This window comes from Homo sapiens, chromosome 7, assembly GCF_000001405.40.
Source record: "Homo sapiens chromosome 7, GRCh38.p14 Primary Assembly".
In the NCBI taxonomy this organism is placed as follows: domain Eukaryota; kingdom Metazoa; phylum Chordata; class Mammalia; order Primates; family Hominidae; genus Homo; species Homo sapiens.
In genome coordinates this window covers 40,384,771-40,411,770 of record NC_000007.14, presented here as the reverse complement: position 1 = coordinate 40,411,770, position 27,000 = coordinate 40,384,771, and the positions used below count along the sequence as shown (strand labels likewise).

General features: G+C 38.0%; 1 protein-coding gene across 19 annotated transcripts in view; it reads right to left on the bottom strand.

Annotated features, from left to right (window-relative positions):
• The window catches only part of SUGCT (succinyl-CoA:glutarate-CoA transferase), a 903,812-nt gene that overhangs the window by 627,046 nt on the left and 249,766 nt on the right, over nt 1-27,000 (bottom strand). The window contains exon 10 of one of the 19 annotated variants that reach the window (XM_011515530.4): nt 23,613-23,870. The exons of the other annotated variants lie outside the window; for them this stretch is intronic. Coding sequence (XP_011513832.2) covers nt 23,817-23,870 — 54 coding nt within the window. The 3' untranslated portion in view covers nt 23,613-23,816. Of the gene's footprint in view, nt 1-23,612; nt 23,871-27,000 lie in introns of those variants that run through there. 19 annotated transcript variants of the gene reach the window in all.

The following is a 27,000-nucleotide window of genomic DNA, read 5'->3' as shown; positions in this document are numbered from 1 at the left end:
TAATCCTGTCTAGCTATTTTGAAATGTACAATAGATTATTGTTAACTATAGTCAACCAACGGATCTGTTGGAAATCAGGTCTTAACTTCTTCTATCTAACTGTATAGTTGTACCCATTAATAAATCATTGTTTGTCCCCCCTCTCCCTGCTACCTTTCCTGGCCTCTGGCAACCACCAATCTACTTCTATCTTCTTAAGATGCAATTTTTTAACTTCCGCATGTCAATGAGGACATCCACTACTTGTCTTTCTCTATTTGGCTTATTTCATTTAACATAATGACCTCCAGTTCCACCTATCCTGCAGCAAACAGCAGGACTTTTTAATTTGTTCTTTCCTCAAATGTATAATTCATTGGCTTTTTGTTTGTTTGTTTTGAGACACAGTCTCACTCTATCGCCCAAGCTGGAGCACAGTGGCACGATCTCGGCTCACTGCAGCCTCCGCTGCCCAGGCTCAAGCGATGCTCTTGCCTCAGCCTCCTAAGTAGCTGGGATTACAGGTATGTGCCACCATGATCAACTAATTTTTGGATTTTTAGTAGGGATGGGGTTTCACCATGTTGGCCAGGTTGGTCTTGAACTCCTGACCTCAAGTGATCCTCCCACCTCAGCCTCCTAAAGTGCTGGGATTACAGGCATGAGCCACCGCGCCCAGCCAATTCATTGGCTTATGACAGTGTGTTAGAGAAAAGTGAGAAGAGCCATTTTTCCCACTCTATATTTTTTTAGCTTAATCAGACGTTTTCTGTAACAAAATTACCAAGATGAATAAAAATCTAACTAAATCTAACCCTTTTTGTGCTGACCAAAAAGATTCACCTTATATAAGGTGTAATTCATTAAACCTAGACAATCCTGATTAATATTTTTTTTGTAGATAAAGACATAGTCCTTAAAAAAGACTTAAAAGTCAGACTGGCCTAGATCACTTCACAATATTGTGTATGGAATAAAATTACAGCTTTTCAATGGGGAAAGATGCTTACCAAGAATTCTATATCCAGACAAATTTTCATTCACTTGTAAACACAACAGAATGATATCTTCAGATACGTAAGGACTTACAAAATATGCCACCTATGCCTCCTAGAGAAATAATAAAAGGTTGGAGGCATATTCCTACCACAAAGAAGTTAGGTAAGACAAAAAAACTCATGAATATGCAAGTGCTATGAAAGAAATGGGAATAAATATTGCCACTACTCGATCTCAGAATTATATCCAAAATAGCTGCTAAAATAAAATAATATAAAATGGTATAATAATTATTGAAAGAAAAGATATATGAGTTAAAAATAGTGGCTGAGGTAGTAACTGAGATAAAAACATCAAATATACAACAAATCTGGAAGCTGAAGGAAGAAAAAAGTAGAAGGGAGCAAATAGTGTCTCCCTATTGCCTTCATTTATGGTCAAAGTTATACAAAGAACTAAAGTAATATCAAATAAACAAATAAATATTGTAGTATTCAAGACAAAAAGTATTAACTGGATTTAAAGTAATAATTGAAAAAACTAAATAAAATTAAAGAAGGTTATATAATACAGCAGCTCAAGACATGTGAATTTCAACTACCCAGAAGTAACAAATGATTTTGGTGATGTGGCCAGTTATGACATATATATAATACAAGCATAGTAATACAATATAAGCATGGTAATTGCATATCTAATATAAGCAATTACCATGCTTAGATTATATACGCTCGTGCTACACAAGGGGCAAAGATTCTACCCACTACAGCACCCAAAAGATGTAAAATATCTAGACACAGACACTAAGACAGGTATACAATGTATACGAAGAAATCTACAAAACTTGCTATTATGAGGGTTCACTAGTGCTATGCTCCTGGAAGGGAAGACTCAACTATGATGAACAGATCAACTCTAATCAATTTAATTTTTATATTTAAATCAATGCCAATCAAAATCTGATAAACTGTTGTTTACTTGACATTTTCCCTCAAAATTTTCTCCAAAAGTTGCAGTGAGCTGAGATTATGCCACTGCACTCCAGCCTGGGCAACAAGAGCAAAACTCTGTCTCAAAAAAAAAAAAATTATCCAAAATAATACACAGGAAACAATGAGCAAAAAAAATTAAAAATGAAGAATACTATAGGGTTTATGAAAATAGATGTCTAAATTTGCTATAAAGCCAAAACAATGACAATAGAATTGAACTGAGGTAGTAAGAGACAACAGGGGCCAGGTATGGTGGCTCATACCTGTAATCCCAGCACTTCGGAAGGCCAAGGCAAGAGGGTTGCTTGAGCTCAGGAGTTCAGGATCAGACTGGACAGCAGAGTGAGACCCCATCTCTACAAAAAATAAAAAATTTAGCCAAGTGTGGTGGTGCACACCTGTAGTCCCTACTTGGAGGCTGAGGTGGGAGGATCACTTGAGCCCAGGAAGTCAAGGCTGCTGTGAGCCATGATCGCACCATTGCAATACAGCCCGGGCAACAGAGCAAGACCCTGTCTCAAAAAATAAAAATAAAAAAGAGAGACAGCTCAGCATGATGGCTCACACCTGTAATCCCAGCACTTTGGAGAGGCCAAGGTGGGCAGATAGCTTGAGTTCATAAGTTTGAGACCAGCCTGGGCATCATGGTAAAACCCCAGCTCAACAAAAAATACAAAACTTGGCCAGGTGCAGTGGCTTGCGCCTACAGTTCCAGCTACTCAGGAGGCTGGGGTGGGAGGATCACTTGAGCCTGGGAGGTAGAAGCTGCAAGTGAGCCATGACTGCACCACAGCTTCCAGCCCAGGCGACACAGCAAGATGCTGTCTCAAAAAAACAAACAAAAGAAACAAAAAGCAGAGAGAGAGAGAACAGAAAATAAAGGCCAAAACCATGTAGGCCTTTGTGTATCTGTTCATAAAATAAGTTCAAATCACTGAGGTATTATTAACATAAATGGTTAAAGGTGAATGGAATAACTATTTGAAGGGCCCACACTACTTATCTTTGGGCAAATGACTTCATTTTGCTTCTGTTTGTTTTGTGTTTCCCTGTCATTTTGGTATTTTCCTGAGCTCTCCAAATTTCCAACAATGAGAATGCTTCCATTTCGTAATTAGAAAAAGCTCATAAATGTTATTTTAATAGTATGGGTTCAATGGAAGTTGTAATTAGAAAAGAAAAAAAGTTTTTAAAAATTCTATAAATCTGAGATTCCCTCCACAATGATGCAACTGTGGGAAAAATTGCTTTGGTAATAAACTATAACCCAGGTAAACTGTGAAAAAGAAAATGGCTGAAAAATATTCTTAGACAGTTGGGTATTGACTTGGAAAATTAGGACTTCATGAGGAGTTCCACGAGGTCACCATCTAAGTAAGCAGAAAGCGGGAGGCATACTAGGATGGGATAAAAATAATCAAGTCAATCCTTCGGTTTGCAGAAGTCAGTTTTTAACATGGTTTCAGGAACAAAAGTGTTCAAATGATAAGGACTAGGTTTCCTAAATTACTAGTAATATAGATGAGTATCTCTAGAAAAGTAACTAAAGAATATTTTCTCAATAGTAGCTCCAATATATATGATAAATAGAATATGCACATATATGCATTATACATTAACCAAGAGCATCTGTCATTTAAACAAAAGGAGGTAACTGTAATTAATGTTGCTTTCAAGTTTAAGAAATGCTCTAGCAATACTGTCTTTTAAATAAAAAAGGTATCATCTTCAATTTGCCTTCCAAATTTTTTTACATAATGACTACCAAAAGACTACAGAAAAGTACATTTAATCTGAATGACTTGGAGAAGCTTGGCGGCATCGAAATCAATAAACCATTAATATCCTTTCAAAGAAAATAGGTAAAATAGAACTAAAGAAAACGTCTGAACTCAGGGGTAAGGTAGTTTATGGTAATAGAAAACTATTCCAGCATCACTAGGGAATGAATTGGATGGCTCTTATTTCAGAGAATATGTCCTGTTTTAAGCTAAGATAGTCTCGTTTAGAGGAAATATAAATGAAAATTTTCTTCTAGTCTATGTTGCCAATTCGTAAATTGGGGGAGGGGGGGACTCTTAATTCATTCCTAAGAAAAGCTTTCTAAAAGCTCAGATCTGCCAAATCCTTTTGCAGAGGAGTGCCAAAATAGAACGAGGGAAGATCAAAAACAAAGTTATTGTCAATGCTGTTCATTCTTCAATACTTAACACTGAACAGAACAATACTCTTTTTTTTGGCATGATCTTCTTCTTAGTACTGAAGCTTACTATTTCTATCTTCTTAAGACTTAAAGAGGACCATAAATGATGACGTACTTCTTTTTTTTAATTTTTGCCAGTTTTAATATAATATTTTATATTTTCATCAACTTTAAAGATATATAAATAATTGAATATTTACATTAATTTCAGATAATATCCTGACAAATGCTAACTTTCATTGTTTTATTAAAACAAAATATCTGGAATTATGCTTAAATACTAAAAGCCATTTCATCCAGCTTTTGGAATATCACACAGCTACATTTATTATATTTCTATTCATAGAGCCAATCAGGGTAAAATTTTCCTTGAATCAACAAAGATACGTGAACGGCAAAATTTATCTGATGACAATAAGGTGAATTGCAAGCATTTTTGTGTACGTTTGTGCATTTGAATTCTTATATTCATTCATATTTTGTTTTCTTTGTTGTAGTCTTCAAAGAAGGCCTTCAAGCTCTTTGTTCTTTTTTTTATCTTTTTTGACAAAAAAATGTATTTAAGTTTTTATTTTTGTAAGGTAGACTTTATTTCGAAACTTGTTTTCAACCAAGAACCTAGACTATCATCATATTTCCCAGTTTTCTGTCCATATGTATAATTTAAAGCTTAGCAAAAATAGCTGAGGGATCCTTTGTTTCTAGTCCCATGCCAAATGATCATTGTAAAAATTCAGAATTCTCTCAGCTGTCATTGAATATGAATGAGCACCTAAAAAACCAGTATACTTTGCAATATTATTTACTCTTTTAAAAACTTCTCAAAAGTCTAGGACAGATTTTTGGAATACTTATCCCTGAGATACATTCTTATGATTAAATTACAACTTTTTGAATAAAGAGAATAGTGTACATTAACTCACAATTGAACAAACCCTAATCAGGTTAACTCTCTAGTTAACCTAAATAAATCAATTTCCTTGCCTAATGAAAAGACCTTTGAAAAAATTATGACAGTGAGAAAACTCTGAAAGTGAAAGAAATCTGACCTGTCTCCATCTTGCTTCTAACCTCCAAGTTGCCCTCGTTCATTCCTCTGTGTAGGCCAAACTTGAGAGGAATTTACTTTATAGTTTAACTTTGAAACAAAGATGATAACAGTCCCTCCCCAAAATGAACCCATCCTTGCTTGGGGACCACACTGCCTTTGTGAAACTAATAAATCAGCCACAACATTAGAAATTATGGCTCACAAGTCACACAGCCAAAGGCCACAAGATTCCTAACCTCCCCAGTTACTCCTATATATAATATTACCATTGTCAAACCTAAGATTGGTATTGGAGGTATTTCTCAGACCCTGCATTCTGATGAACCAGCTGGCGTCATCCAGACTAGTACACTGTATCATCTCATCTGTAAGAACTGACTCAGCAAGAAGACAGCTTCAGCTCCCTATGATTTTATCCCCCACTCAACCAATCAGCATCCCCCATTCCCTAGCCACCTGCCTATCAAACTACCTTCGAAAAACCCTATGCTCCAAATTTTCAGGGAGGCTGATTTAAGGAATGATAAAACTCCTGTCTCCCATTTAGCTAGCTCTATGAGTATTAAACTCTATTGCAATTCCCATGTTGATAAATTGGCTCTATCTGGGCAGCAGACAAGAAGAACGCACTGTGTGGTCACACCAATGGCATCACCATGAAAATCTGCATTATAGGATTTCATAAATTGAAACTAACATTTCCTCATTGGTTTTTCTTTTTTTTTTTTTTTTTTTTTTAGACAGAGTCTTGCTCTGTCACCCAAGGTAGAGTACAGTGGCGCTATCTCCGCTCACTGCAACCTCTGCCTCCCAGGTTCAAGCAATTCTCCTGCCTCAGCCTCCCGAGTAGCTGGGACTACAGGCACCTACCACCACGCCTGGCTAATTTTTGTATTTTTAGTAGAGACAGGGTTTTGCCATGTTGGCCAGGCTGGTCTTGAACACCTGGCCTCAAGTGATCCACCTGCCTTGGCCTCCCAAAGTGCTGGGATAAAGGCATAAGCCACCACGCCCAGCTCCTCATTGTTAAAAACATTAATTTTGTAAAATATTTTCTATACTAAGTAGCTGATATTATAAGAAGCAAAGTAAATGTGCTTTGTAATAATTAAAACATGTTCAAATGCTAATTTTAAAGAAGGAAACATTATCTTAGCGGTAAAGAAAAAGAAAAAGAAAAGACATTATCCCCATTATACAAATGGAGAAACTGTGGTCGATATTTATATAACATATCCTATAATACATATACTACATCACTTTAAAAGAGCATAAAACACTGAATTTCCTAGGGATAAGGTCACTGTATACATGTGATTGGGTCTCTCTTACTTCTTCCAGCCATGAGTATACTGACACTTTAGCCTTGCCAAAACAGCTCAGGAGAAGGCCTGGCTATTTAAACACTTCTGCTGTTGAGGGGTATCTGCCAGGTGAGGCTCTCATCTCTTTGATTTGCTATGCAGCTTACAGAGTAGTCATAAGGTTTAGGTTTGGGTTTCAGGTAATAAAGAGGCCTAAAAATTGAAAAACATTCCCTGGCTCAGCATACCAGAGAGCTTTGGTATTGTGTTTCAACCTAAAGCCCAGCTAATTCTATAAAGACACCAGAATTAGGAATAGAAACCACTATTCCCAGCACTGCTAGGGCACATCTCTCTGTAAACATTAAGAACCTGTCAGAGAATGGAATCATACTGAACAGGCTTTGTTGACCTGAGAAGCATTTTTCTCTACGAGAAGTTATGCTATCAAAATATGGATCAAAATCTCCTCTAGGGGCAAAGAGATAGCAACAAATTCAAGTGGAGTCTGAGCATGGTGGCTCATGCCTGTAAACCCAGCACTTTGGGAGACCATGGTGGGCAGATCACTTGAGGTCAGGGGTTCGAGACCAGCCTGGCCAACATGGTAAAACCCTGTCTCTACTAAAAATACAAAAATCACCTGGGTGTGGTGGCACATGCCTGTAATCCCAGCTGCTAGGGAGGCTGAGGCAGGAGAATCGCTTAACCCAGGAGGCAGAGGTTGCAGTTAGCCGAGATCGTGCCACTGCACTCCAGCCTGGGTGACAGAGTGAGACTCCACCTCAAAAAAAAAAAAAAGTCAAGTGGATCCTTCTCTGAAAGTATGTCTTCCTCAGACCAAGGAAGACAAATAAAGACTAGAGAATGTCATTGTCTCGGTACCAACACCTACAAGATGTCAGGAGCCTTGCCTAACAAGTAAAACCAATATCATCTTCCATCTTTTGCTTAGAATTGTGCAATAGCAACTGTAAGAAACTTCATCGGCTCTAATTTTTTTTCTCTCTGATGAGGAAACTGAAGCCCAGCAAAACTGGGCAACTTGCTCAAAGTCACCCAGAAGTGGAGTTTCCTGAGGTCCTGGCAGAGGCCCTTTTCCTGCACATTGCAGTGCTCATCCATCTCCTTCCATTCCTAAGTGACCTGTACCAGTCATCTTCACATTCAGTGCCTTAGTGTAGCCAGTGTGTTCCTTTTCCTGATCCCTTCCTTATCTCCTTTTCCTATATGGCTACAGCGTGGAAAAGGAAACCCACCAAAGAATACAAATGCCCAAGAATGTAATGCACAATTTCATCTAGATTGATTACATTGCATCAGCCAGCAAGCCAGTCAAAAAGAATCCCAGAAGCAGATGCTGCTTCCAAAACTAATCCTCAAAGAGATTAAAAGGGCATGTTTGCACTGTAAACTCAACCTGTTTGCCATATAGACAAAGAAAACATGAAAACATGCTTGCCATCAAACTGCATGAAATTAGTTCCATTCTACTATGAAGAAATTGAGTAGACAGAAGTTGTGAATCATCTAATCACATGGAAAGCAGAGATATGGCAGCCTCAGAAACTCAAAGTTTTAATTACTCTGTCCTGTGTTCAAGTCACATTGACAGGTTTGGGTTATGTGAACATTCTCCTGAATTTTCAAATGGCCCCTCCCATTTTATGTCTGTTGTAACTTTTCTCTTTTTACCCAACATACTGAGAGTTAAAAAGATAGTTCTTATTCCCGTTATTCCCGTTTTACAAATGTTCCTCCCCTGCCCCTTTAGGCTTACAGTCCCTCTAGCAAATTCAGTGTCCCTGCAAGTGTTACCACTGTTTTTAATACAGTGAGATAAATTGTACCCTAATCAAATGTGTTTTGGATAAAATACTACTCAGCTTTCATTCTTCATGACAAGTCTTATGTTATGTATCTGTGAATAAAGCTTGCATGGAACTCTCTATTTATTGACAGATTGTAATGTTGCTAAGCTTACCTACTTCTTTATTTTTGTGCCATGTAAGCAACAAAAGCACTTGCATTTTTGTACAAAACCTAATAAAATCATGGAAAATGACAGCAAAAATGTGTTTAACATATAGTTTACAGTCATCTACTCCCCAAAGGCAAAACAAGGAAAATGGAAAAATAAATATAAGAATAAAGATAGGACATGAGGAATAAGGGTACAGTTTAAAACGAAGTAAGTAACACAGATATTGAGACCAGACAATGCCCCTGTGCACATAATCATGCCGTGGGCTGCCTCTAACCTATTGGAAATTAAGTGAAGTGCAACACGAGGTTTCCAGTAAAAAGTCTCTTGTGTTCTCACCTAAATACATGGAAGACAGTAGTCCTCATCACTAAAACCACACATAAATCAGAAAGTTGGCAGTGCTTGCTCTGGAGAGTCCAGAAACTTAAGCTTTTTGGAGATTGAACTTCCTCTCACCCTAAAAAGGATGAATCCTACCCGATCAGGATGAAGCAATGAGAGCGGACTTTCTAAAAGCTGAGAGAGAGACAGACATTTGATTTCCAGAACCATTTAATATAGCTCTTATTAAAATACATACATGGATTCCCATTCCAACACATTTAAGCCAAAAAGAGAAAACCTAGATGTATTTTTAAAAGTGGATTTTTAAGAAAGAACAGAAAAAAAAAACAGGTACCAATAAACAGTATCTGGAAATTTCACTGACTTTGTATTGCATATTGTTAAGGGGATTTATTTTTCTAATAATAAATTTTCCCCCATAGAAGTTTATGAAAAGAAAAAGAAAATCTTTTCCTCTTATAACGTAAGTTGACTTTCTTAATTGAGGCAGTTGTTTTCCAGGCCATAGGATGTCAGATAGCACAGTAAGAGAAGACAGCTTGATTTTTATGTCAGCCATAAACTAAGTTTGGATAACTTTCCCTGTTCACTCATCTTGACAATGAAAATAGATTCTATCAAATCATCTTTAATGTCTCCAGCAACTCAAAAGAAAGACGGGGACAGAATTACAGAATGCTTAATAGCACACGTTCTAGAACGGCCTTTCCTAATTGTGTTACCTTTGGTAAGATATCTAGTTTCCATGTGTCTCATTCATTTGAAAAAAAAAAGGGATAAAAATACCTATTTTACCAAGTGTATATAAGGGGTAAAGACATTTAGAATAGTACCTGGCACATAAACGCTCAATAAATATTGGCTATTATTGTTATGCGTGTTTAATAAATGTGTTTTAATGAAACAATCTGGAATGTTTGGTGCAAAAAAACAAAAAAGTTGTTGAAACCCAAAATATTAAGAGAGAAATTTGGAGCATTTTGAAAAGTATCAGAAAGAAAGAAACAGAATCATGGTCAAGAGGAGAGGACCCCTATCTAAACAAGACTATCCAAAAATTGGAAAAGGCTTTTCCTTGGGGATCCTTCTTTGTTCAAATACTAAATATTCACCAAGTTGTTTTCTTGTCTTGATTTATAGCTCTTGTTATTTCTGGTCTTATGTAAACTTCCCTTCTAGGAAGAGGTATTTCCTATTTTAGATTATTAAACTAGTTTCTAACTAAAACCAGAATTTGGTCATTGTGAGTGCATTTTCCCTAGGGCTTAATCACTCTTCAGATTAAATGAATGGTCAGTTCCCAGACTGCAAAGTTGGAAGGGCAAACCTCAGAGAATACAGAGTCCTTAACCTACCTTTCCTGAATGCTCACAGTTTAACAGAGTATTCTCTGCTTGGGCCCTAACAGTGTCTTGCCTACGTAAATAAATTAGTAGCCTCTTAACATGCTATTCCACTTCCATGTTTCCTTGTCCAGTCCACAGAGCCTGACACTTCTACTTAACAGAGTTGTAGAGCACACAGAGGGCAGAGCCCTTCTCTGAATCATTTCAAGATAGCCCTATTGGACCTAGTGTATAGCAGACCTCTTAAAGTCTAAGGTAATTGCACAAGGTACTACTGTAACTTATATTGTCATATAATTATTTCTCAGGTTTGGTGTAATAAGAGCCCAAGGAAATTTTTGGTCAGCTTGTAATGACAGTAAATATTCCTTCTTAAGGCCAGACACTATAATTTTTATAAATATATCTGAGGCTTTATGAGATACAGGCTATTCCACAAGAAAAAAAGAATCAAACCAGTTATCCTTCCTTAATCTCAAAAGTTAAGAACAATTCATGATTGACAAAAAAGGAGTAAATTACAGCTAAAGAGTAACATGAAGATGAAAGGATATAAAACAAAAGCATTTTAGCAACTTCCAAGGGTTGTACTGGGATGCCTTCCTGATGATTATACGGATTGGAAAGTTCCATCTGGCCTTGTTCAAAACCATTCAAGTAAGGGTGCAAAAATCTTTTCCCCACCTACATCTCCATCACTCCTTTAGGGTACAGGCTCATATTCTTTATCTCTGGCGACTGGCCTGAGATGAGCTATGACTATCGAAGGACCCTGAAAGTAGGTTCTCATTACTTAAGTAAGGTACAAAGTAAGCAAAATGCATAAGCACAGAAATCCAACACATCAGCAAAAAGTCAATAGAAATACTCTGGTAGGTGGTTAGATTCTCACCAAATGCCAGTTAGAGGAGCAGTTTATGCACTGCTCCTGTCACAGAAGTCCTCGTCACAGGAGACACATTAATAAATGATGCCAAGATGGAGATAGAAGTTGGCTCTCATGAAGATATATGCTTCATGAAGAGTATATCGCCTCTTAACTAAAAATAGAACTGTCACTCAATCCAGCAAAGCCATTAATGAGTATCTACCCCAAGGGAAAGAAATCATTATATTAAAAGGATACATGCACTTCTATGTTCTCGCTATGTGACCTGCCTGCTCCTCCTTTGCCTTCAGCCAGGACTGTAAGCTTCCCTCACCAGAAGCAGATGCTGTTGCCATGCTTCTTGTACAGCTTGGAGAACCATAATCCAAATAAACCTCTTTTCTTTATATAATATCTAGCCTCACTTATTCCTTTATAGCAATGGAAAATAGACTAATAAATTCACCATACTAACAGGAAGAAAGAAGAAAATCCATATTATCATCTCAATTGATAAGAAAAAGAATTTAACAAAATTCAACCCAATTTATGAAGTAAGAAAAAAAAACTTAGCAAACTGGAAATAGAAGACTTTCTCAGTCTGATAGATAAAATCTATTTATTTTTATTTTTGTTATTATTATTTTTTGAAATGGAGTCTTGCTCTGTCACCAGACTGGAGTGCAGTGGCACAATTTTGGCTCACTGCAACCTCTGCCTCCTGGGTTCAAGCAATTCTCATGCCTCAGCCTCCCAAGTAGCTGGGATTACAGCCACATATCACCACACCCAGCTAATTTTTGTATAAAAATCTATTTTTTAAAAAAACCCTACAACTACCATTATAATGGTGAAACACTAAACCATTTTTCTCTAATATCAGGAGTAAAGTAGTGATGTGCTCTTACCCTTTCTGTTCAGCATTGTACTAGGGGTACTAGCCAGTGCAATGAAGCCAGAAAAAGAAATTAATGACATACAGATTGGAAAGCAAAAAGCAAAATAAGCTAATATGCTCATTTCATTATCCAGTCCTTTGTTTGGAGACGGACACATGAACCAAATCAGGCTAATAAGACCCAAGGAGAAACAATTCCTAAATTTTGGTACGAATTCTCTTTCCTGTTGTATCTTTTATTGTGGTGAGGAAACTCTCAATCTCCTGGTGACCACCCTACCCTATTAGAAGCTGGGTCTGAAAATGATCCTAGTGACATTGAACCATGAATCAAGCTGGTTTGAGAGTAGTTCTATGCCTGGACCTCCTAGTTACATAAAACAATAAATTCTCTTTTTGGCTGAAGCCAATTTGGGTTAGGTTTTTTGTCACTTATCACCTAAGAGTCTTAATTTCTTCCTCATATATTTTTTAATACCTTAAATCCTCTCAGGGTTTAGATTTTTTAATTTCTTTCCTTCCAACATTTTTTTTCCTTGGCTTTTCTTCCCTTAGGGTTAAATCAAAATCTACCTTCAAATGGTAAAATAATTATTTTCTAATAAGAAATTAGTATAAATACCATCCTGCCACAAGTTAAATTTTGTTTTTTAAAAAAATTTCCTGACTGATGCATCAAAATCAGTCCTTTGCAAACCTCTTCACTAATGCAGCAGGGTGATAATGTATAATCATCTATTATACTCCTTCTAGATTCACTTTCCACATTGCAGTGGCAGTGAAACAGCAATCAGACATGTCAGATGTGTGCAGTGGAGTTATAAAACATGTTGATTTTATTTATACTGATTATGGACAAAGTCAACAGGAGATATGAGAAGTATGTAGTACACATTCAATTTTCAAGCATGAAGGCTCAATACAATCACTTTTATCTATGCCCCAAGGTCATCCTTCTTATAATTCAATCCTTTGTTCACTGCACAAATCCCCTCCAGACCCCTCCAAAAATTCTTCTCCAAAATCATGCTAAATAAATTATATCTTTCTCACTCTCATTACTCTGTGGTTATTTTACCTATAGCTGTTGTGATTATGATATCACTAATAAAAAGATTGGGCCTTATAACAGGACTAATTTATTCTTTGCCAAGTCTTCAGCTACACTTGATTAGAATGTACTAGGATGAGATGATCCAAAACAAGACCCTATTTGATACATGATCCCGGGAAGCATAATTTAGGGAGATATAACAAGAAAATTAGAAAAAAAAAAAAAAAAAGCCAGTAAAGTGTTACCGATCAGGTTACTGCTCTGGCCAACCGAGATGCAATCCTACTGGGGCTTTCTGATTAATGACATATGATATACCTCAGAATTGTCTTATCAAGAAATAGAGAATGTGGGGCCAGGCATGGTGGCTCACACCTGTAATCCCAGCACTTTGGGAGGCCCAGGCAGGTGGATCACTTGAGGTCAGGAGTTCAAGACCAGCCCGGCCAACATGGCAAAACCCCGTCTCTACTAAAAATACAAAAATTAGCTGGTCATGGTGGCATGTGCCTGTAATCCCAGCCACTCAAAAGGCTGAGGCAGGAGAATTGCTTGAACCCGGGAGGCGGAGGTTGCAGCGTGCTGAGATCGTGCCACTGCACTCCAGCTTGATGACAGAGCCAGACCCTGTCTCAAAAAAAGAAAAGAAAAGAAAAAAGAAATAGAGAACGTGGAATATTCAACCCTCTGACCCCCACACCTCACTGGTTGAGGGTTGTCCATGGAGACATAAAATCTCTGGAGTTTCTGAACTTCCCTGTGTTAGGTAAGCTAGAACCTGTGATTTGAAAGCAAGACCTCAGTCAGAGATTGAGGAGAGACAGATATTTGAGGTAGGCAGCCATCAGTGAGTGCAGGGCTATCTCAGAAGGAAAGAAGGAAAACACAGAGTGGACAGAAGGGATATGGAATGGACCATCAATAGCATCAGTTACACTGTCCAAAACAGCTTGCAAGTCACCTCATCTTCCTGATCACAAGAATACCAGCAAGCTCTTTCTCCTCCTCATTACCTCATGGATTTCTCTGCAGTCTCTATATACATTTTCATTCACCTACTTAACATATTGTATTACGTATTCAAACATAGGTACAATCCCCTTATTAAATATAATAGATTCCCCTTTGATGAATACTATCCAAAAGACAAAAGCAACTTAGACTGGATATAATGTCCCTTTTCTAACCAGTCTGTCTTTGCTCTCCTCCACAATGATCTTTGTGAGGAAATAGGAGCATTAACTTTCAAGAGTTTCAAGAATAAACTCCCTGCTGTCCAGAAGTCGAAGTCACAAATAACTAAAACATAAGGCAAAATAAGCTAAGTGCCATAAGAGAGGTAAATACAAAGTGCTTTGAGGGCTCAAAGGAGATAAATATCACATCCAGTTGGCAGGATCAGGAAGGATATGTGAATGAAGAGGCTTGAGAGCTGAGCTTTAAAGGATGGATGGAATTTTGTCAGTAAAAGGTGGCTAGAGGGCTTTCTAAATATAGAGAATATTATAAGCAAAGTTCCAACCACAGAAAAATGCATGCTCCTTTGAGATACAGTCTGCTTTGGCTGGAGCATAATGTACACATCACAGAAGTGTCCTGGGAGATATCGCTGGAAAGGACCACTCTGCATGCATTTTTAACCATTTCAGTAATCTATCATCAGAGTTTTCAACTCTTAAAAGTGGCATGACATTAATGACTCTGGTGGTAAGGTCTATCTGATATATATTATTTTTAAAGACCAGTATAGTATTCATATTTTACATTTTCTATAAAATCAAACTTGTTGAAATGGAATGTAGGAATTCAGAAGGGGGTCATTCCCTCATGGTCATATAAGATAGCATAAAAGTTTAAGAGCCCATGATCTTTTTTGTCTTGCTTTGTCCAGTTACTGCTTAAAGAAAGAAGTGATGGTTTGTATTTTACAAAAGAGGGAGAATGAGGTAATAAAAAAAGATGAATAAACAAAATAAGTAAATGCTTAATACTCTCTTCAACAGGTGCCTGAATCCACACATATATGTGAATTTAAAGGAAATTAGCCAAAATAAATAACGTGGGAAATCAATGTTAAACACATTTGTATGCATGTGGTTTCTCTCCACATCCTGGGGGATTAACATTTTACTCTTGCTGCAGTCCCATTATTAATCTTACTCTTACCAGAGTCAAATGGGAAGTAAATCGGCAAAAATGTAATAAGTGAAGCTAGAAGGAAATTGTTTTTTTCTTACAGGATAAGTACTTTTAGTTCAACCTGAGGACTGTTTTAGACAGTCCTAAAGGTTGTTTCGTCAGCCTACAAATGCACAGTCTTAGTCAAGCTCTTTTAAACACACAGAAGCACGGCTTATTCTACTTCTGAACATCAATGAGTACTTTTCAGGGCAAATTATCATACATTTAATATTCATAATAATTCTCGGAAAAATTGGTATAAAAACATTATCTGCATTTTATAGATGATAAAACTAAGGTTCAAAAAAAATTTGACTTCCCCATGTCAGAGTTGTATTAAGGCATTTCAAATTCCACTTTCTTCCAATTTATCTAACAGAAGTCATCTTATTTCCTAAATAATTCACTTTCTGAACCTCAAAAATGCAAAAAATGGGGGACACTTCTTTCACTAACAGTCTCACTCTGAGTGTCCATGCTAGTTGTTATATATTTAATATTCTTCTATGGTATCCTATCAGAGAGCAAAGCTAAAACTATCTCTTACATTCTCTTGGCTTTAGTTCTCAGAAGTCTCAAAAAAGTCCTTATAGAGGCTGTTGAATAAATTCAAGGTGTCTCTTAAAGGAAAGTTTGGTTCTCCCTGTAAGAACCTTAGTATGCCCATTCTGTAAAAATAACAGTCTATAGTTGCTAGAATATAAATTAAACTCTTCATTTTTTTAGGAGAATGATAACTTCCCACTTGGATTTCTAGAACCAAAAGCAAGACTACCCAAATTGTTAAGCAACTCAGAACACCTGGATGACAGCCTGTTGCCATAGTTTTCCTTCAATGCTCTCATGCTTCCATTAAAAGGTCCCTGAGACAACAGAAGAAATGATGAGGCTCCCACATTTTCTGAGCTGAGTGGGAATGGGGGAATATGGCTTAAAGCAGATAAGTAGTTCTCAAACTTGAATCTGCATACAAATCACTTTGATCTTGTTAAAATGTAGATTCTGACTCAGTACAGCAGAGGTGAGGCTCAAAATTGAATTTTTTTTTCTTTTTTTTTTTTTTTTTTTTTTTTTGAGACAGAGTTTCTCTCTTGTAGCCCAAGCTGGAGTGCAATGGCAGGATCTCGGCTCACTGCAACTTCTGCCTCCTGGGTTCAAGTGATTCTCGTGCCTCAGCCTCCCAAGTAGCTGGAATTACAGACACCAGCCACCATAACCAGCTAATTTTTGTATTTTTAGTAGAGACGAGGTTTCACCATGTTGACCAGGCTAGTCTCAAACTCCTGACCTCAGGCAATCCGCCTGCCTCAGCCTCCCAAAATGCTGGGATTGCAGGCGTGAGCCACCTCACCTGGCCTCAAAATTGAATTTCTAATTAGCTCCCAGGTCATGCCTATCCTGCGAGTTCAGGACCACGCTGGGTAGCAGCAAGGATCCAGAGCAAACTGCACCCTGTGCCTACCTGGCCTATGAGATAAAAATGGTTTGTGCATTTTCTAATGGTTGGGAGTAAAATTAAAACAATAATAATATTTCACAACATTTAAAAATTATAAGGAATTCAAATTTGTGTCCATAAATAAAAGCTTTCTTACATTATTCAAAATAGCCAAGATATGGAATCAACTTAAGTGTCCATAAAGAAAATGTGTTGTATGTATAAACAATGGAATATTATTCAGCCTTAAAAAGAAGGAACTCCTGTTATGTGCAATAGCAAGGATGAATCTGGAGGACAGTGTGTTAATTAAAATAAGCCAGGCATAAAAAATAAAATAGAAATTACTGCATCACCTCACTTATATATAAATGTGAAAAAGTCAAACTCATAGAAGCACAGGATAGAATGGTGGTTACCAGGGACTGGTGGAGGAAGCAGAGGAAGCACTGGGGAGATGCTGGTCAAAAGATACAAAATTTTAGTTAGAAGGAATAAGATCAAGAGATCTATTGCACAACATGGTGACGATAGTTAACACTGCATGTGAGGTAATGCATAGGTTAATTAACTTGACTTGGCCATTCTACAATGTATACATATTTCATAACATCATGTTGCACAATATAAATCTATATAATTTATGTTTGTCAATTAAGTCATAATAAAATTTCAAAGAAAAATTTTATTGGAAGATGGGCATATTTATTTATCTATTATCTATGTTCCTTTTGCAGTGTGAATTAAGTAGTTGCAACAGGGACTGTATAGACCACGAAGCCTAAAATATTTACTATCTGGTCTTCTATTAAAAAAACCCATTTGCTAACCACAGGTCTGCAGCAGTGGTTCTTAATCATGGCTACATAGTCAAATCACCTGGGGAGATTTTAAAAATATTGATGATGCAGAATTTCTGAGAGTGACTTCGGCATCATTATTTTTTTTTAAGTTCGACAAGTAACACCTGTGAGCAGTCAAGTCTCAAAACCACTGCTATAAAGAAAATATTCTCATCCTGCCCGTGTCTCAGCAACTATAGACAAAGTCACCAAAGTCAAAGAATAAAGTTCAGGTCTTCGACAATTCATAGATTATTTCTGCACAACCTCCACATTTTTGTCACTGCAGACTGAGACACAATCCCTAGAACAATTCTTTGGTTGCTTTTGTTGCTGTTGTTTTTAATTCTAGCAATTCAGAAACCAGTACAATCTCTTACTACTCTCTTTGTGTCTCACCACATTCATTTTCAAGAGTTATCACTGCTTCCTTCTTCCTCCAGATGGCTGAAACCAGCTGTGTAATCACTGGACTGTCTAACACATATGACCCACACATGCTCTAAAAGTACAACCATCTTCATTCCCTTCCTTCAGGAAAGAAATGGGTCTGTAGACCCGTGCAAGGTCCATCCTCTACTTATCTCTTTATTCCAGACTTCGGACTCACTGGGGACCTATGCATTGGTCATACTCCCTCCTCTATCTTCAACACCTCCCTCTCAATAGCCTCCTCTCCCATAACCTAGAAATCTGCTAAATTCTACCATCTCAACCCCCCAAAAAACTCCATCTGTAGCTACCTCTTAATCTTCTCCCTTTATCATCCACAATACATGAAAAAGGATTCCCTACTTGCTGCCTCAAGTCCCAATCCAACATTTACTTCTACACCCAATGTGTCACGGCTTCTGTCAAGATCATTCTATCAAATCGCTTCTTGCAAAAGTCACCAGTTGTCTCCATTCCCTAATTTAGTGGACATTTTTCAACCCTTATCTCATAAGACCTCTACACAGCACTGCACAATGTTTAACATTTTTCTGAAATTGTGTCTGTTTCTCTGATACCACATACCATTGGTTCTCATTATACATCTGATTATTCCTGTTCTGTGTCTTCTGTGGGTTTCCCATTCTTCAATGAACCTAGATACCCCAGTAATCCGTCTACAACCCATTATTCCCCCATGCACCATGACTCAGTCACTGTAATAATAGCACCTACCACAGATGATAAAAATTCCTCAACTGTTTCCACCCCAAATCTCTGCCGACAAGATCAGACTCATATGGTCAATTTCTGTTGACTATCACCATTTGACTATACCAAAGACAATGTGCCCCAAACCAAACTCACTATATCTTCTGCCTGACCCTCTTCCTGCATTTCACTGTCTTAATTGGTGACTCTACAATCCACCCAGTTTTACAGGCTTAAGCCTGGCACTTTTTGTTTAACTCCTCTCTGCTTCATCACCCAAAGCTAAGCATCACTAGCTCCTGTAAATTTATTTTTCAAACTTACATCTCAAATAGATCCCTTGCTACCACTGACTTAATCCAAAGTCTTGCTCATCTTTCACATGGAAGATTAAATCTGGCTTCCCTTCCTCCAGTTTTGTCTCTCCTAAAACCATCTCCTCACCCATTCAAGAGTAATTTACCTAAAACACAAATATTACAATGTCATCGATATGGGTGAAACCTGTCAGTATCTCTCTGTCATACAAGATAATGCCCAAGCTTTTTAACACAGATTCTCAAAAATTTGGACCTCACTTTTGCTGCATCATGCAAACCTCACTTGATATTTGTAGTAACAAGTAACAATAATAAGATGTGCTTTCCGAACCCTCTACCTGGAATTCATTTCTTCCCCCCACCCATTACCCTCTACCCGCCTCTATAGCTTTAGCTAACCCATATACTTTAAGATTCATGAATCCTAGGCTTGCTTACCTGTCCACCTCTCTATCTCCATGACAGCCTGTGCATTTCTTTTTCATCTCTATATCTAATTTGTATTATGACTATTCTTTATGTATTTATTTTATTATTATTATACTTTAAGTTCTAGGGTACGTGTGCACAACGTGCAGGTTTGTTACATATGTATACATGTGCCATGTTGGTGTGCTGCACCCATTAACTTGTCATTTACATTAGGTATATCTCCTAATTCTATCCCTCCCCCATCTCCCCACTCCACGACAGGCCCCGGTGTGTGACGTTCTCCACCCTGTGTCCAAGTATTCTCATTGTTCAATTCCCACCTATGAGTGATAACATGCAGTCTTTGGTTTTCTGTCCTTGCAATAGTTTGCTCAGAATGATGGTTTCTAGCTTTATCCATGTCCCTACAAAGGAAATGAACTCATCCTTTTTTATGCCTGCACAGTATTCCATGGTGTGTGTGTGTCATATTTTCTTAATCCAGTCTATCATTGATGGACCTTTGGGTTGGTTCCAAGTCTTTGCTATTGTGAATAGTGCCGCAACAAACACACGTGTGCATGTGTCTTTACAGCAGCATGACTTATAATCCTTCGGGTATATGACCAGTAATGGGATGGCTGGGTCAAATGGTATTTCTAGTTTGAGATCCTTGAGGAATCACCACACTGTCTTCCATAGTGGTTGAACTAGTTTACAGTCCCACCAACAGTGTAAAAGTGTTCCTATTTCTCCACATCCTCTCCAGCACCTGTTGTTTCCTGACTTTTTAATGATCACTATTCGAACTGGTGTGAGATGGTATCTCACTGTGGTTTTGATTTGCATTTCTCTGATGACCAGTGATGCTGAGCATTTTTTCATGTGTCTGTTGGCTGCATAAATGTCTTCTTTTGAGAAGTGTCTGTTCATATCCTTTGCCCACTTTTTGATGGGGTTGTTTGATTTTTTCTTGTAAATTTGTTTAAGTTCTTTGTAGATTCTGGATATTAGCCCTTTGTCAGACGGGTAGATTGTAAAAATTTTCTCCCATTCTGTAGGTTGCCTGTTCACTCTGATGGTAGTTTCTTTTGCTGTGCAGAAGCTCTTTAGTTTAATTAGATCCCATTTGTCAATTTTGGCTTCTGTTGCCATTGCTTTTGGTGTTTTAGTCATGAAGTCCTTCCCTTGCCTATGTCCTGAATGGTATTGCCTACGTTTTCTTCTAGGGTTTTTATGGTTTTAGGTCTAACATTTAAGTCTTTAATCCATCTTGAATTAATTTTTGTATAAGGTGTAAGGAAGGGATCCAGTTTCAGCTTTCTACATATGGCTAGCCAGTTTTCCCAGCACCATTTATTAAATAGGGAATCCTTTCCCCATTTCTTGTTTCTGTCAGGTTTGTCAAAGAACAGATGGTTGTAGATGTGTGGTATTGTTTCTGAGGGTTCTGTTCTGTTCCATTGGTCTACATCTCTGTCTTGGTACCAGTACCATGCTGTTTTGGTTACTGTAGCCTTGTAGTATAGTTTGAAGTCAGGTAGCGTGATGCCTCCAGCTTTGTTCTTTTGGCTTAGGATTATCTTGGCAATGTGGGCTCTTTTTTGGTTCCATATGAACTCTAAAGTAGTTTTTTCCAATTCTGTGAAGAAAGTCATTGGTAGCTTGATGGGGATGGCATTGAATCTGTAAATTACCTTGGGCAGTATCGCCATTTTCATGATATTGATTCTTCCTATCCATGAGGATGGAAAGTTCTTCCATTTGTTTGTGTCATTTTATTTTGTTGAGGACTGGTTTGTAGTTCTCCTTGAAGAGGTCCTTCACATCCCTTGTAATTTGGATTCCTAGGTATTTTATTCTCTTTGAAGCAACTGTGAATGGGAGTTCACTCACGATTTGGCTCTCTGTTTGTCTGTTATCAGTGTATAGGAATGCCTGTGATTTTTGCACATTGATTTTGTATCCTGAGACTTTGCTGAAGTTGCTTATCAGCTTAAGGAGATTTTGGGCTGAGACGATGGGGTTTTCTAAATATACAGTCATGTCATCTGCAAACAGGGACAATTTGACTTCCTCTTTTCCTAATTGAATACCGTTTATTTCTTTCTCTTGCCTGATTGCCCTGGCCAGAACTTCCAACACCATGTTGAATAGGAGTGGTGAGAGACGGCATCCCTGTCTTGTGCCAGTTTTCAAAGGGAATGCTTCCAGTTTATGCCCATTCAGTATGATATTGGCTGTGGGTTTGTCATAAATAGCTCATATTATTTTGAGATACGTCCCATCAATACCTACTTTATTGAGAGTTTTTAGCATGAAGGGCTGTTGAATTTTGTCGAAGGCCTTTTCTGCATCTATTGAGATAATCATGTGGTTTTTGTCTTTGGTTCTGTTTATATGATGGATTACTTTTATTGATTTGCATATGTTGAACCAGCCTTGCATCCCAGGGATGAAGCCCACTTGATCATGGTGGATAAGCTTTTTGATGTGCTGCTGGATTTGGTTTGCCAGTATTTTATTGAGCATTTTTGCATTGATGTTCATCAGAGATATTGGTCTAAAATTCTCTTTTTTTGTTGTGTCTCTGCCATAGCCTGTGCATTTCTATATTATCCATATCAGAGTGCAGTAGTTAGGAGTAGTGCATAATCACAAAGAACTGGATTGAAATTACTTTGCCACTATTTATATCGACTCTCTTAATTGGGAAAATCATATAACTTCTCTAATTCCTCAGTCCCTTCATATGTGAAATAGAAATAATATTTACCTTATTGCTTTGTCATTGACAATGAGATAAAGTGCTTAGGATATAAACTGACACAGGGTAAGACCCCAATAAGTTAGAATTGTAGTTATTATTGTTTGTTGCTGACTTTGAAGTCAGAACACAAAACAGTAAGGTATATGTTCGGTAACTCTTCTTTTTGCTTGTTTGTTTGTTTGTTTGTTTGTTTGTTTTGAGACAGGCGTGCCCAGGCTAGAGTACAGTGGCGTAGTCATGACTCACTGCAACCTCTGCCTCCTGGGCTCAATTGATTCTCCCACCTCAGCCTCCCAAGTAGCTGGGACTACAACACATGTCTGCCACCGTGCCCAGCTCATTTTTGTATTCTTGTAGAGATGGGGTTTCTCCGGATTGCCCAGGCTGGTCTCAAACTCTTGAACTTAAGCAATCCACCTGCCTCGGCCTCCCAAAATGCTAGGATTACAGTCATAAGCCATCCCATCCGGCCTCAGTAACTTTTCTTTAAATGCCTTACTTTGGCAAAGAAATCTTTGTAAAACATTCTTATATTTTATCTAAGTTAGTCTTTTTAGTGCTTACAAACAAATACTCTTTCTTACAAAGAGAAATAATCTTGATACATATTAAAACAATAACAAGCATATTTTGACAATGACTAGCCAATGAAAAGCTAGAAGAGCAGCAGGTTTTCTCACAATAAATGAATATCTCAAACATATTTTTTTAAGTTCTTAAGTGGTAAAACATGAATATTATGAACCATGGATGACTCTTTCTGAGAAAAAACAAGATCCCTTATATCTAAATTATTATGAATTATCCAAATCCAAAATAATAGGAGACTGTGCTTTCATTTTACTTCAGAGCATGATGATGTGAAAATATAAAACATTAAGTTCACAGGAACATCTGCTAACATTTTAAATGTTAAAATGTTCTGCCCGGGCGCAGTGGCTCATGCCTGTAATCCTGGCACTTTGGGAGGCCACGGCAGGCACATCACTTTAAGTCAGGAGTTCAAGACCAGACTGAGCAACATGGTGAAACCCCATCTCTACTAAAAATGCAAAAATGAGCCATGCATATTGGCACACACCTGTAATCCCAGCTACTTGGGAGGCTGAGGCAGTAGAATCACTTGAATCTGGGTGGTGGAGGTTGCAGTGAGCCAAGATCGCGCCGCTGCACTCCAGCCTGGACGACAAAGCGAGACTGTCTCCAAAAATAAATAAATAAATAAATGCTCTGATTTCTGTTGCTTTCAATGACTTGTATTAAAACTAAGTTAAGGTGAGGAAGTCAAAATTTCCTCATTATATTATAAGCCTGTTCATTATCCTAAGGAAAAGAAAATGCAACCTATTACAAAAGTGCCCAGTAGCTTGCTTCACTAAATGCCTGTAATTACAGCATATTTTTTAGCAGTTTATGAAGGGGATCAAAGAAATATGTTCCAGGTGTAGGCTCTGTACTCAACAGATTTAGACAAAGATTCATTTTTTCAGTCTTAACATTGTGGTAATGTTTATTAGATCTCTATTTCATTTTTCTACTTTCAATTGAAAGTAATGTGCAGACATGTAAGCGACAAATTCAGCATAACACTGACTGAGGCTTTAACAATTAGGTCAGCCCAAGCGTCTCTCTGCCCCACATTTGGGGAGAGGATACTTCCTTCCAAACTTGCATCCGATTCCAACTCATCCGCTTACAGGCTGTGTTTCCTCAGGGAAGTAACAAACTCTCTTCCTCATCTGTGAAATGGGAATAATAGTATCTATCTCAGGAACAGTTAGAGGACGATGAAATGAGAAAGCACCAAGATGTAAAGTACTTAGCATAGTGCCTGGACCCATTAACATTATTCCCTTACATAGCACTCACTGAGGGCCAGGCAGTGTACTAAGCACTTTATAGACATTATTAATCCCTTTCGACAGTACCTACATAGTAGGTATTATTATCATCCTCCTTTAACAGAGGAGAACTCATTTGTACACCACAATTCTGATTATTTCACAGGACAACAGGACCAGAAAAACAAGGATTAGCACTAATCACTCCAAAGGGTTCAGCAAGAAAAATAAACCCGAATGCCCTGAGATAACCATTCCATATAACAATCTAACTTCTTTCCTATTAAACTAGAAAGTAGCATCCACAAGAGAAATCAGAAAAATAGTGACTCAGGTAGTTTCCTGTGTTCTGTTGTTCAGTTCAAAAACCCAAATAGAAAGTAAGTATAGCCCTGAACCCTGTCCATAGATTTCCTGCCTTTGTGTCAGTCTTACATGTGGGCCATGTATCCGATCTGCCCAAGTTACAGAGCTCTAGTTCCCCATGGTAAAGAAATCAGACCATACAGGAAGGGCAAGATCACTCATTTTTGAAGGGAGATGAATAATACCTACGTTTGGGTGCAAGGTAAGTTACAAAGATGTTAATGAGCTTCATAGTTTTATTGCTATCGAATAACCCAAAAGATTGAAATCACATTTAGTAATTTGCATTCCCTATTTTGCCTTTTGATACCTCATCCTACCTCCTGAGAAGAGAGCCAGGTCTTGCATGCTTCCTCACCACAGGGTAGCCCAGCTACCACAGAAGTGGCCTAAGAGAATTTCCTTTACTGGCTATTGTTTTCCAAAAGCTTAGTACTATGGACACAAAAAGAAGCCACTGCATTGGTGTGAGAGTAAGGGATGATGGTGGGGACAGGTCTGGCACAAGCAGCAAGAGAAAGAAAAAGATTGCCCCAAGCTTGAGGAAGGGCTGGTCTGTGGCACCTACAAGTAAATGCACCCAAAAGTTTCCTCTTGCAGAGCTCCAGCAAAGAGGTTGGATCTGCATGGGAAATAAAAGCAAGGTGGCCACACGAGGCTCCATTAAGAGCGCCTGGGCCCACTACTTTCTCACACCCCTGGGACAACAGTCCCAACCCCATCACAGTCCAAGGGATCTGCCGGGGGGATAAAAGTATGTGTATTGTGGGACTCAACTAAGGAACTTTGGAAAGGTAGAAAAGGCTTTTTCTCAGTTGTCACAATGAATCAAAGTCATGGATGCTAAAAACATCCTGCAACGTATAGAACATTCCCACACCACAAGAACTATCCCACCAAAACTCCAGTATGCCTCTGTTGAGAGAAACTAATTAGCTAACAAATTAGGAAATTAGCAAACTAATTTGAACTAAAAACTCAAGGGTCTTACCTGAATACTTTGTTCTATGCACCATCACAGGACCTCAGCCCCACAACTTTGTGAGTGAGGGAGCCCCATTATAACTGAGATTCCCGTCAAGATGGTGGGATGAGGGATCAGTGTTGGATTTAGTTGAATTAAAAGAATTACGGCTCGAGACATTCCTTGCATAACAAGGTTTATTGAGAAGATGTGCTTTCTAGATATTTCAGATTAACAGCTGAGTGTCAGGGGCTTTCTGAAAACATGCAAAGCTCTTGTCCTAGCTGTGCACTCCTGGGGAAGCACCAGCCTCTTCTACAGTAACAGTTCTAAGATGGCTTTCCAGATTGCATCTGTGTCCTAGTACAGTGAAGACGAAACCAGGCCATCCTTCTGTCCCCAAGACAACACCACATATTTCTTTACTCTTACTTCTTTGTGTGTAAAAATGGCAGTAGTAATTACATTTTTAAAGCTTTATTTTTAAGCTATTTTATTTATAATCAATAAAATCTGCTTAAGCATCTGGATATGCATCCATCCCCCCTAACAATTGTTACATGTCACAACAAAATTGGCAAGAAAGGACTTTTGCAATGCTATATAAAGTGACACAAATTATTGGTTTTATAAGAAACGTCCACACGTCACCTTAAAAGCTAACTAAACAGCAATATGCATTTAAAAAATAGAAAGAGACTTGAAGCATTCTCAACTTTAGTACAAAAACAGATTTGAGGAAAGGAATGAAACACATCTATGTACCACCTTTCCCTAAAAATGAAAAGACCATTGTATGATGTAATTAATCTTTATACTTCCTTTCTAAAAAGAAAAAAGGAGAAACATAGTCCTTTTTGCATATGGGAGAAGCAGCACAAGGAATTCAGATTTCTTGCCTAAGGACAGGGATCAGTGAAGATCATGCCAAAATCCTACAGAAAGACTAGGACACTAAATGCCATTCTCTTACGAGCAATTATATCTTTTTTAGAAGACAGCATTCATTGGACACTTACTATATACCAGGCACTATACTTAAAGTACTCATCTCACTTAAATCTTACTACAACCCTGATATGAATTGTAATTTTCCCCATTTTACAGCCGAAGAAGCCAAGAACAGTGACATTAAGTTGCTTATACAAGATCACCTAGCCAATACATACTGATAGAATTTCAGCCAGAACTGTCCCTGACTCCAACCATGAACTCCAAAGCCCATGATCCTAACCCACGAATCCTCCTTTTCTCTTCACCCCTCACATGGTATGATTTTATTAATTTTAGAATTCATATGAATCTTTCCCAGTGGCCATGATGGATTCTAGCAGTGCCAAATTAAAATATGAACGAATAAGACTATTTTCAATTCCCTAGAATGTTATGATCATTGACAATCGTCTCGCCTTTATCTTCCATACTACTCTATCATTAATACTAATCACATTTTATTTTAATTACTTGTTTAATGTGTCTTGCCTCCCAGACCCTTGAGGACAAGAAAAGGCCCTTGAGGACAAGAAAAGAGCCTATCTTTGTTTACCACAAGACTCAGAACCTAGCACAATGACTGATGCATAGTAGGCTCTCAATACGCCTTTGTAGAATGAATGACTGAGGGAGCCGGGCACAGTGGCTCATGCCTGTAATCTTAGCACTTTGGGAGGCCAAGGCACGCGGATCACTTGAGGTCAG